This window comes from Homo sapiens, chromosome 4, assembly GCF_000001405.40.
Source record: "Homo sapiens chromosome 4, GRCh38.p14 Primary Assembly".
Lineage (NCBI taxonomy): Eukaryota > Metazoa > Chordata > Mammalia > Primates > Hominidae > Homo > Homo sapiens.
This window is the reverse complement of record NC_000004.12, coordinates 101790287-101803040: the sequence shown is the minus strand read 5'-3', so window position 1 is coordinate 101803040 and position 12754 is coordinate 101790287. Positions and strand designations below refer to the sequence as shown.

At 37.0% G+C, this 12754-nt stretch overlaps 1 protein-coding gene across 2 annotated transcripts in view, besides 1 other annotated feature; it reads right to left on the bottom strand.

Moving 5' to 3' along the window:
* Positions 1-12311, bottom strand: part of BANK1 (B cell scaffold protein with ankyrin repeats 1) — a 284083-nt gene extending 271772 nt beyond the window's left edge. For both annotated transcript variants that reach the window (NM_017935.5, NM_001127507.3), the window contains exon 1: positions 12091-12311. In NM_017935.5, coding sequence (NP_060405.5) covers positions 12091-12160 — 70 coding nt within the window. In that variant the 5' untranslated portion in view covers positions 12161-12311. The remainder of the gene's footprint in view (positions 1-12090) is intronic.
* Positions 12035-12224: a silencer, noted in NCBI's record as "silent region_15594". NCBI's record gives its function as "represses an Ori minimal core promoter by ATAC-STARR-seq in GM12878 lymphoblastoid cells {active_cell/tissue: GM12878}" and the evidence as "EXISTENCE:reporter gene assay evidence [ECO:0000049][PMID:35858748]".

Here is a 12754-nt window from a genome sequence, read left to right as displayed (position 1 = left end):
CAGAATCTCTCACACATTTAAATATCCTAATATGCATATTCAGAACATTTCACCACAGAAATTTTTTTTCCAAAGAACACACAGTATATGCTACAGAACACGGTTTGGGCAACAGAGTACTAAAGGAATAAAGCCATGGAAGTCTGTGTCCACATATTTCAGGAATTGACTATCAGGTAACAAAAGTACAAGTCAACTTTCGTAATGTCCCACATGGTAACTCACCTACTCACCCAGCAACAGCCATAACTGTCAATTACAGAGCACCAATTTTATTCCAAGTATACTATTTGTTTTTTCATCTTTTCCAAAAGAAAAAAACGTGAGGTATAGAGAGGTCTTATAATGAAGTTACATACGGTCCTACAACCACTAAGTAAAGCAGCCATTAGATCATTTCTGCAACAGATCAGAATATGACTCTAAGAGGTCATTACTACATACAAACACAAAATACATCCTTAGTGAAAGCAGAAATGTAATGTGTGCTAATTGCTAACTTCTTAGCAGACTAGTCCTCATAAAAGATATATAAAAAAGCAGCCCGTTTTCTTTCCATAATTATAAATGCTTCCTAATTACCCATATGTTGCTCAGAAATAGAAATTTGCTTAATGGAAGCTTTCTACTATTCTGTTGACCTTCACAGATCTAGGTGAGACATTGTATATATTTATAACCTGTAGGGAATAAATTACTTCAGGCATCAATTAGGCAATTCTGATTATGTCACTAAAGCTTTATTCATAGAACTATATCAACTATTACTCTTTTACCTGTATGATGATGTTAGAAATGCCTTCATCACAAAAATCATTAAGACACTGATACAGAAGGGAAGTACTGGGAAGGGCGTGGTCCTTTAAATGATACTGAAAGTGGGAAGGGAAGTACTGGGTAGAGGAGGGTGTGGTCCCTGGCTAGGGCTCTATCCCCGGGCCTATGCCCACAGACCTAAGTAAGGACAGGCATTTTTGTTTTCCTGCCCAAATATTGCATTTTCCAAGACCACCCTGGCTTGCCACGCCCCCATCCTGTGCCTATAAAAGACCCTTAGACCCTAGCAGGCAGGTGGCTGGACTTCAAGAGGAACGCACTGGTGTCTTCAGCCAAGACAAGAAACAGAAGCTATGAAAGAAAAGTATATTTGACACAATGAGTGTTAAAAAGTGTTCAACAGCAGCAAATATTACAATCAAAATTATTTAACAAATAAGTGATAAAAGAAAAATATTTGTGATGCATAAGACAAAGTTTACATTTTAAATATGTAATGTGGTCTTATAAGTTTTTAAGACAAAAAGCACAAGAGAAATATGAATAAATCATGTGAATATATAACACACAGATGAAATCAAAATGCCAAAGAAATATATGAAAAACACTCAATTTCAAGAGACAAATGCTAATTAAAATAGTAGCAAAATATCACTATGAAAATGCCTTGTGTGGTGAGCATGAATAGACAGAGGTTCTCTCTCAACTGCTGGAGGAACTGTGAATTTTGCTCACATTTTTATGAGAGTAATCTCATAATACATATTCAACAATATGTCATGAGAGAGAAATAAAATTTCTAATTTATTTCATTGGAATTTTTTTTCTGAAAGCTGAGTGCATTGCTATCTAACAGAAAATTTAATTCAAATCACAAATGCACGGCACATATGTCATTTTAATGTTTTTAGCAACCATATTGCAACAAATAAAAAGTAAGTTAATTACAATAATACTAATTTTATTTCATCAAATAAATTCAAAATAGTATCATCTTAACATGCAATTAATATAAACATTCTTGAGAGATTTTACATTCTATTTTTTGTGCTCAGTCTTTGAAAACTGGTGTGCATTTTACATTTACAGCACATCACAATTTGAACCAGACATATTTTAAGTCCTCAACAGCCACATGTCTAGAGGGTACAGTGTTAGGTAGCAAAGCATACAGTTTTTTGCCCATCAGAATATAGAAAACATGTAAGATTATAGCAATCTGACATGACAGAAACATCCGCACCTTGGGAGGCCAAGGCAGGTGGATCATCTAAGGTCAGGAGTTCAAGACCAGCCTGGCCAAAATGGTGAAACCCCGTCTCTACTAAAAATACAAAAGTTAGCCAGGTGTGTTGGCAGCCGCCTGTAATCCCAGCTATCTGAGAGGCTGAAGCAGGAGAATCGCTTGAACCCAGGAGGTGGAGTTTGCAGTGAGCTGAGATTGTACCATTGCACTCCAGGCTGGGTGACAAGAGCGAGAAACCATCTCAAAAAATTTGAAAAATTTAAAAACAAATCTTGTCTGAAACAAGTAACGTGTAACAAGAATTGCCTAAATTTATATTACCAACCTGTTTGAATGTGTTTTTATCTAGCAATAGTCAGTCTCTTAGATTCACACAGGAAGAATAGAGCCAGAAAGATTTATTCAGGAGTAGAGCTTTATCAAGTAGTTGTGACAGTAACTACTAAGCAAATGCAAAAACAGGATTTTAACGAGAATGAATGGATTCCAATATGGATAAAAAGGAAGGGATGATATATAGAAAGTAAAGCTAAGGAATAATTCAACACTGTACCAAGGCTTTCACAGAAAGAAGTGTCAACTATTTATTCTCCATTAAGATCAATACCAAAAAAACAAAAAAAGAAAAAAGGAAAGAGGAGAGGAATGGGAAGAAGAGAAGGAGGAGCTCCAGAAACATAGAAGAAGGAATGAAAAATACGAGACAGAAATTCTTTTTCTTTTCTTTTTTTTTTTAAATTATACTTCAAGTTCTAGGGTACATGTGCACAACATGCAGGTTTGTTACATATGTATACATGTGCCATGTTGGTGTGCTGCACCCATTAACTTGTCATTTACATTAGATATATCTCCTAATGCTATCCCTCCCCCCTCCCCCCACCCAACAACAAACCCTGGTGTGTGATGTTCCGCATCCTGCGTCCAAGTATTCTCATTGCTCAATTCCCACCTATGAGTGAGGACATGCAGTGTTTAGTTTTCTGTCCTTGTGATAGTTTGCTCAGAATGATTGTTTCCAGCTTCATCCATGTCCCTACAAAGGACATGAACTCATCCTTTTCATGGCTGCATAGTATTATTCCATGGTGTATACGTGCAACATTTTCCTTATTTTATTTTATTTATTTATTTACTTATTTTTGAGATGGAATCTCACTCTGTCACCCAGGCTGGAGTGCAGTGGTGCGATCTCAGCTCACTGCAAGCTCCGCCTCCCAGGTTCATGCCATTCTCCTGCCTCAGCCTCCCAAGTAGCTGGGACTACAGGCACCCACCAGCACGCCCGGCTAATTTTTTGTGTTTTTAGTAGAGATGGGGTTTCACCGTGTTAGCCAGGATGGCCTCGATCTCCTGACCTCGTGATCCGCCCACCTTGGCCTCCCAAAGTGCTGGGATTACAGGCATGAGCCACCAGGCCCGGCCACCAAATTTTCTTAATCCGGTCTGTCATTAATGGACATTTGGGTTGGTTCCAAGTCTTTGCTATTGTGAATAGTGCCACAATAAACATACGTGTGCATGTGTCTTTATAGCAGCATGATTTATAATCCTTTGGGTATATACCCAGAGCCTGCATTGCCAAGACAATCCTAAGCCAAAAGAACAAAATTGGAGGCATCATGCTACCTGACTTCAAACTATACTACAAGGCTACAGTAACCAAAACAGTATGGTACTGGTACCAAAACAGAGATATAGACCAATGGAACAGAACAGAGCCCTCAGAAATAATACCACACATCTATAACCATCTCATCTTTGACAAACCTGACAAAAACAAGAAATGGGGAAAGGATTCCCTATTTAATAAATGGTGCTGGGAAAACTGGCTAGCCATATATAGAGAGCTGAAACTGGATCCCTTCCTTACACCTTACACAAAAATTAATTCAAGATGGATTAAAGACTTAAATGTTAGACCTAAAACCGTAAAAACCTGAGAAGAAAACCTAGGCAATACCATTCAGGACATAGGCATGGGCAAGGACTTCATGACTAAAACACCAAAAGCAATGGCAACAAAAGCCAAAATTGACAAATGGGATCTAATTAAACTAAAGAGCTTCTGCACAGCAAAAGAAACTACCATCAGAGTGAACAGGCAACCTACAGAATGGGAGAAAAGTTTTACAATCTACCCATCTGACAAAGGGCTAATATCCAGAATCTACAAAGAACTTACACAAATTTACAAGAAAAAATCAAACAACCCCATCAAAAAGTGGGCAAAGGATATGAACACACACTTCTCAAAAGAATACATTTATGCAGCCAACAGACACATGAAAAAATGCTCATCATCATTGGCCATCAGAGAAATACAAATCAAAACCACAGTGAGATACCATCTCACACCAGTTAGAATAGCAATCACTAAAAAGTCAGGAAACAACAGATGCTGGAGAGGATATGGAGAAATAGGAACACTTTTACACTGTTGGTGGGACTGTAAACTAGTCCAACCATTGTGGAAGATAGTATGGCGATTCCTCAAGGATCTAGAACTAGAAATACCATTTGAAGAGACAGAAATTCTTAAACACATAAGAAAATCTACACATTAAAATGTATTACTAATGGAATTCATGGAGCTGTTCTCTATAAGTTTTCATAGCAGAAAACCCCCCTTTGGTGTGACGCCATCGGCTTTTGAGAACAATTAAATTGCTGCCGTGACACTGATCTTAAAGCAACAATGAAAGTAAAATCCTTTCCTTGATGCCACATCTTCAGCTGCTTATCAGACAGCCATATTTCTAAAGGGCGTCTCCATGGCCTCCATCACCTTACCTTCTTCCACTCATTCCCATTCAGCTCTCATCCTCTTTACTAAAGCTACTTACTTCTCTAAGGTCATCTGTAAGTTTCATGATGCCAAATCCATTGGCTAAATTTCAGGCTTCAATTTGCCTGACCTATCAAAAGAATTTGGGCCAGTTCACCATTCTTACCTTCCTGAAACATTCTATTTTTGAATTCTTCTCACTGTATCTTCGTTTTCCTTCTTTTTAGCCTCTCCTCAGTCATATTGAGCAACTCCTCCTTCTCTACCAACACTGAAATGTTTGTTTTCCACAGGTCTCTATCCTGAGTCACCTTATCTATGTTATCCTATTCATTGTTGTAGTTTTAAATACAATGTTTTTCTTAATTTTATATCTCCAGTCTGAACTGCCTTTCTGATATCCAGATCCTAAAATCGAACTGCTTACTTGACATCTTAATGTGACTATTTCTCATGCTCCTCAAATGTAACAGATCTGAAATTGAAATGACATTCTCTCATGCCCTCCCGGTGTCCTCTTGTTCCTTCACTCCTTTCCAATGGAGTAAATGACACATTCTTGATTCTCTTAGGTTTACAGACCACAACCCTTGGTGTCATTCTTCACATTTTTGTCCCCTTCAGACTCCAAATCTACTATATCACAAAAGGTATGTAAGTAATAGTTCTTAATAAATCTGTCCACTTCTCCCTGTATTTTTACTCATTGCAAACCCCTAATTGTTCACTAACTTCCATTGCTGCCCTTTTCCAATTAATTGTATCAAGAGCAGCTCATGTGATCTTCTAACACAAAATCTAATCATGTGCCATCCCTCATTAAAAACTCTTCAAGAGCTCCTCATTATACTTGGGGAATTTTTTACACAAATTTATGCAATTAGGTTTTGGTTTACTTTTCAGATTCTTCTCCTCACTCATTATAATAACATTGTGAGTGTAACCTTGTCACATCTTGAAAAAATTTTGTCTTTCTGTGTCTCATTTCTTCACTGACATCATTGGACTTAATTGATCACATCTGAACTTTATTAATTTGTTCCTGTCACTGAAGTTTAGCAAGAACACATTGAATTCTTGTTTTCTAAGGTGAACATTAATAACACACTATGTATAACTTAATGGAGATACTATACTTTCTACTCCATTGCAGAAAAATAGGCTGGTAAAAGACTAATCTCTAAAACACAGTATTGTATTGCTTCATACTGATATTAATCCACTGAGATTGTATATAAAGTTTTATTAATGGCCTGTTAATGGTGCCATATTTCTTCATATACCAGAGGAGTTGAAGATAATCCCTAGTTTTATATCTCATCTTACTCTTTTACTTCCTGTTTTACTAAGTAAATATGTTTTGTGACATTTACTAAGATAAATGCCCCAACCATTCTCTCACTAATGTATGCCTCAATTGAAATGTATATTAAAAACTTGCCAGAAACAGTATGCTATAAAATTTTCAGATAAGTAAAAATATCCTGTTAACAAAACATGGGAAAACGTTGTTGTTATAAATCTATAGCTACATAATTCAAAGCTCTAAACCTTTTAACAGTGCTTAATTCTTATAATACTAACCTTTGGGTGAATTATTTTCTCTCCAGCTCTAAGGATTTAAGTTTGAAAACCTAAAAATAAATGCATGGACTTTCTTCAAATTTCACTAATAAAGGCAGGACTCTCGAAATATGCTCATCTGCAGGACCACCAGACTTACTCATACTCTATTCCTAGTGCATGAAAGGAACAGATTTCATTCTCAGATTGTTTAATTTTCAATGGAAGATACGTAGAAGACATCATTTTAACAATAACAACTTTTGAAAAGAGAAGCTGATAGCTGGCAGTTTTTGATAAATAAAGGTATGCTAGCCCAAACTTTTTTTTTCCTCCCAAAAAGAGAAATTCACTCAAAGTAGTTCATGTAAGGAGAAATTCATGTAAGGATACTATAAACAATTTCATGGGCAAATAAGATCAGAAAAACAAGTGCAGCTGCTCCGTCACTAGAAATCAGAAATTGAGACTACTCTCTTTGTCTTTCGGTCTCCTCAGTTTTTTCATCACAGTTTCTTTCTACTTATGCATCTTAAACATGAGGCAACTAACTGTCATCTTAAACTGTATACTGGATCTTCCACTGACAATAATCTCATCTTTCATCAATCTTCTACTGATAAGAATCTTTATTCTTTCATTTAATAAGACAAAAGGACTTTGTGGCTTATACAGATGATATATGTGGCTTATACTTACACAGATTCAACAACTCTGTATAAGCCTGACAACACAGGGCACTGGCCATTAAGCAACCAGTTGGCTGGCTTGCATCATGTGCCTATTCTTGGCCCAGGTGACTGTTTCTGGGAATCTGAATAATTGTCCTCATTCTACTTGATTTACATGGCTGTGGATCTATAGGAAGTGATAAAGGAAAGGTCTCTGACCTACAAATAAGTACTTAAAGTAGTGAAAGTTCTACATTTTTACTGAGAAATCATGAGAGAATTAAAGAAATTATCCCATTAATTGAAACCAGAGTAGATTTTGCCTCAATTTTATGTCACTCACTTTTTTACAATAGTGACCTAATAATTTACTAACTGTACTAAAAACACACTCCTCTCCCAATATTTTAAACTGTATCAATATATTAAATCTAAATAAAATGCAATCAATAGAAAATGTGTAACCTTAGAGATTCTTCAGACAGTAACAATAAATATTCTACAATTGCCATTTCAATGATTTTATAGAATCATGCCCTTTTGTGTTTCTCCACTCCCCATCCTAGAAAAAAAAACATGGTGACTTAAAAGTTTCACCTTTAACAGTTTAGAAAAGCCTCCATAGATAAAAGAACACAGTGAATTATTAAATATTTTCATATGACTATACTGAACAATATGACTTGTTGTCCAGAGTAGACACTACTCTTCTGACACCCTTACTTATCAACTAGTATGATTCCCATTTCATATGAATTCAAAGTAGAAACACAATAAACGGAAGCTATTACAAGAAGGCTAAAATTTCAAGTGGTCTTGACACTATATTATTCCTCTGAAAATTAGACATGATCCTGTAACAAAAAAGGAATGAGAATATTGTTCCCGACCAAAGGAGGCTTTATTCTCAGCATGTATCAGATGAAAAAAAAAATGAGGCATATAGTAAATGGAATTCCAAGTCAGAGACTGTTCTTATACTTTTCAGTGTGTCTCTATAATGTAGAACACATGTGAAAACAAGGCAATGGGAATTAATAATATGGGAAAATGGCAGAGACACTTAGAAGAAACAAAGATATGACACATAGTATGATGAAACATAAAAACATATTTTAATGAACCAGATATAAAGGAAATCTTGTAAAAGATCAAAAGCATTGATTAATTACTCTTCATGATTAAAGAGGGAAGTCATCTTTCTGGATTATTTCAGTGCAGAACACTTAGAAACAACAAAGAGATTTCAATTCAGGGGTAAATGCCTAAAAGGCTCATTGTTTTTCTCTGACTAAAAACTAATTACTGCAGGGGTATAATTCCATATGATATCTGATATTTCCACCACTGGGACTATTTCAATGTCTGCACTAAAACTTAGATACCATTCTTTATATTTAAAACAGGAAAGGAAAGGATTACAAGGCCAAATAATAACTTACTTTTTAAATGATGACTTATGAAATGTTTGCCTTTTCTATTCTTATTTCATAGCTATCTCCAAAATTACTGCAAGATACTCTATATTCTATGAAGAAAGCAGTAAATTAATAAGTGTAACTTAGGTGATTAAGCAACAACCATTTAAACTCTTAAAACATGTCATTTATTTTTGTCAGGAATGATGTTCCTCATTTTATATTGTAATTTTGTTTTAACCCAGTAGTAAATATTTTGGTAAAATAGATTCTCATCTTCTTGTAAGTTGAAATACTCCACAGTTTTTCTGTTTGATGCTTATTTTTTTCAAATATATTTATATATTATGTAAACTGAGTCACAACTGGTACTCTGAGATATGAGAAAACAGAGCACGCTCTCATTTTGTCCTATTAAATTCCTTCTTTATTCTTTCCTGCAACTGCTATAGTTTAATTCCCTTTTAATCAACCTATCCTTAGTTCTTCTCATTATGAATTCTTTTCTCCTTTCAGAACTATTAACCACAATATATCCCCAAGGATATTGCAGTATCTTTATACAAGAGGCCATATCTCCTATTTTTTTTGATACGAGAGCTTGATTCCTTCACCCATCAAGTTGTCCTTCAAGTCAGTATGAGGCAATCAGTATGAGGCAGTTTTTCACTAAGAACTCCCACTCTTATATAAGCTAATATGACACTACTGATCAATGACCTAAGAATTAATATAACAACTAGCATGTATAAAGCAGTTACTATTTGTTATAAGACCCTGAAAAGGACTTCACCTGCATTTACCCATTTAATCCCCTAAACAACTTTCATATACAGGATTTCTTCTCTTGGATTTTGCTTTTTAATAAACAAAATAAAAAACTAAGACAGTGACAGATTTCATTATTTATTCAAGGTCACAGATGAGACAGGCAATGAAGCTGGGACTAGATCTGAGGCAGTATGAGTCAAAAGACCATCATAAGTAGGGCATAACCACCTACAATACATCCTCAGATAGATATTGCAGAAAAGGTTCCTCTACTGTCCCAAGTGTAACTTTGAATATGCTGATATTTAACCTTGAAATCTTCAGCAATTGCATTTTTCAGAATTATTCCTTATTATGGTGAAGATATCCTGAAAGCACTCCTTGTCTTTAAAATCCTAGCAAAAGTGACCTTATCAGAACATTTCCAGATTGGTCTGAAGAAAGCAAGTTTTTCCAGCCACCAGCATGGAACCAGGTTATTTCCTTAGTGGAACAAGTGTAGGACGTTGGCTATGTTGGAAGATTGCAGTCAAAGCAAAAAGCTTCAAATCTTTAAGAACTTCAAGCTAGAGAGCAGAGACCTAGACAAACCATGTTCCTTACAAGTATAAGCATCCAGCGTAAGGTGAAACAGTCTAAATGCTAATTCCACCCTTTCATGCTTTCTGTTCTTAAGCAAATCATTTATTAAAGTTTCATCAGATGCATCCAATAATATCAATAAAAATTTAAAAAAAACTATGGTGTGGAGAAAAATCTGTGATTTAATAAATAATCACTCCCTAATTAAAACAGCAGTTAAAATTAAATTTTTAAAATCATTAGTTTTGGAATACAACAGGAAGAATCTCTCTTTTGGACATTGATAGTAATATATAGTTAAATACAAACCAGAAAATACATTCTAACTAGAACTTTCACCCATTGTGCATCATTTTTACCTTGTTTTAGAGAACTGGGTATTCTATTTTTCTTGCTTCCATTAAAGAACAAGTCGATACTCAACAGTTAATAAATCTCTGATGGCAGTATACACTAATGTTGTCTAGCAGTACATTCTATCTCCTGCTAGAAATATACCTTCCTGGGCATGAAACTGTGTTTACCATTTTACATTCTTATTACTACTACATGACTCTTGGCAGGGAATAAAAGTTTGTTAAGTTAATGAATGGGTGACCTTCAAATAATTACTAGTTATGAAACCATGAGCAACTCACACTCTGGATCTCAGTGCTCTCTTCTCTAAATGAGGCAGTTGGACCAATTGACCCCCAATGTGCCATATTAAGATAGTTGTTGGAGAGAGAGGGAGCTCTTCATTAAAAAAAAAAAAACACACACACACACACACACACACACACAAACCACTGGATTTATAAAAGCTAGAAGATTACTCATATCAAGAATATGGGCATGGGATAATGTCAAAAGACAATTCGTTTTTAGAAAAGTTTCATTATGTTGGCCAGAAAAGGAAGTAACTGAAGCAAGTGATAAATACTGCATGGAGAAGGACCCAAGGAGTTGGGAGGGGCGGGGCGGGGGGGGAGCGGAATGCATGGGAGGAACAAGAATAATTGGAATGCTATAAATATTGATTCACATTACTCTTGCATTATTCACAATAGCAAGTGCCTCAAAGTATTGCTTAGTATCAAGTGAAATAAAAGGCATTTTCTGCCTAAACTGTTTAATCTAGAAGTTTGAAACAAACTGTACCCCATTCTCTAACAAAATTGTTAAACTGAAATTACAAAAGAGGTAACCTGCTCAAAGTTTGAAAGACATGGTTGGTTTATTTATAGATGCTAGCAAAGTCTGCTCTGCTGAAGACCATCAGAGCCACAGTTTTCAAGAATGTCAATATGCAATAGTTAAAATATTAATAATATTAAGTTATGGGCTCTAAGTCCTTTCTTGTCACTTTTCATTGACACAAATATACTTCTTATTTAACTGAAAGCAATCCCTAAAGCTTATTTATGTAAAAATGCACTAGCCAACAGAAATAGCTACAACCAAAATTACATTACCTAAAAAATTCTAGAAAGGTATGAGAAATTTATTTCTATTCAGCAAATTAAGAAACTTTCACTCAGAATATACTTTCTTGTTGCATTTCTCACCACGAACACTCCAGTAATATTAATACCTAAGTGAAGTTTTTTAATTTAAAAAACATTTTTATATCACTGAGTAATTTGCAAATGCATTTGAAATGCTTCAAAAAGAACTAAATAAAACTGCCTTAACGTCCATTTGAAAATATAAATCTACTTCTGCATTCAACCAAGTTGACCGTTTTCCTTTGACCAAGTTAGTAAAGCCAGTGGAGTAGGGAGGTGGTGTTGGTAGAGTTTCTCTGCAAAGCCACCTGCCAAGAAGCAGGGCTACCAATTCACCAGGCTGGGATTTGTCAGGCCGGGCAGGTAAATGCGTGACGCTACACATGAGCGGTTTTTCTGTGCTTACCGACTGTTGAAAATAATTACGTATAATTTTAAACGCGCATTGCTTTAAAACAGGTTGCAAAGTGATTTTAGAAACTACAGGACCCTGACCCGGGTGCTGGGGAAAGTTCCAGCTCCTCAGAAGTTGCAGACACTGAGGGTAGCCCGCTGGCCAGAACTCCCAGCGCGCTCCCTCCTCGTGGCGTCCAGATGCCCCTCAGAGAAGTCAGGGACAGAAGAACCCTCTGGGCTGCCTGGCGGCAGGATAAAAAGGAGAAGCCCTGTCTCAGGGACGCCCTGGCCTCAGTGCCCGAGTGCAGTTGTCTAACGATGGCCCGTGGTCTCCGCAGAGCCCCGTAGCCCGGCCTCGGCGTCAAGCCCCTCCGAATGCGCGACTACCCACCTGGGGGCGCTGGGCCGCAGGGGGCGGGGTCCGGGCTCCCAAGCCCCTTGCCTGGCGCTGCTGGCAGCATTGTGGCGGTTGAAGCCGAGGGGCCTGCGCACTGCTGCCCGCCGAGCGCTACCTGGACTCTCCCGGCCAGAGACTCCCCGCGATTTTCTCTTCCTTTGGCCCTCGGCTCTCCCCAGCCCGCTTGCCACCCGCGGAGGCTGCGGCCAGGTCTCAGGAAACGCAGCCCCGGGGCTCATGCCCGCAAGGCCAGGGCTCCGCTCTGCTGGGCGCCCAGAGGAAGTGAAACTGCTCAGGGGCCTGCTCTTACATCCCTTCTCAAAAGGCCGCTTTGGTTTCTTATAACACTTCTGCGCCTGTTTCCTTCCTCACCTTTTCATCCTAGGATATATTTAGACCGCTGTTATTGTAGCTCTCCTTGTCCCTTTCTAGGTCTTCCATACTGCCATACTGCCCCCACTTCCAGGCAGACGTAGGGAAACCAGAAGTGAACATTTGCTGGAAAGAAAGAATAATTAGATAGATAGATGAGTAGGTACACAGATGATAGATACATACATATAGAAATGAAGATACAGATAATACTGTAACTTTTAAAATATTTCATTTTACACAGACTTTCTAGGCTAGGTTCATAAATTGAAAAGTGATTTAAAAT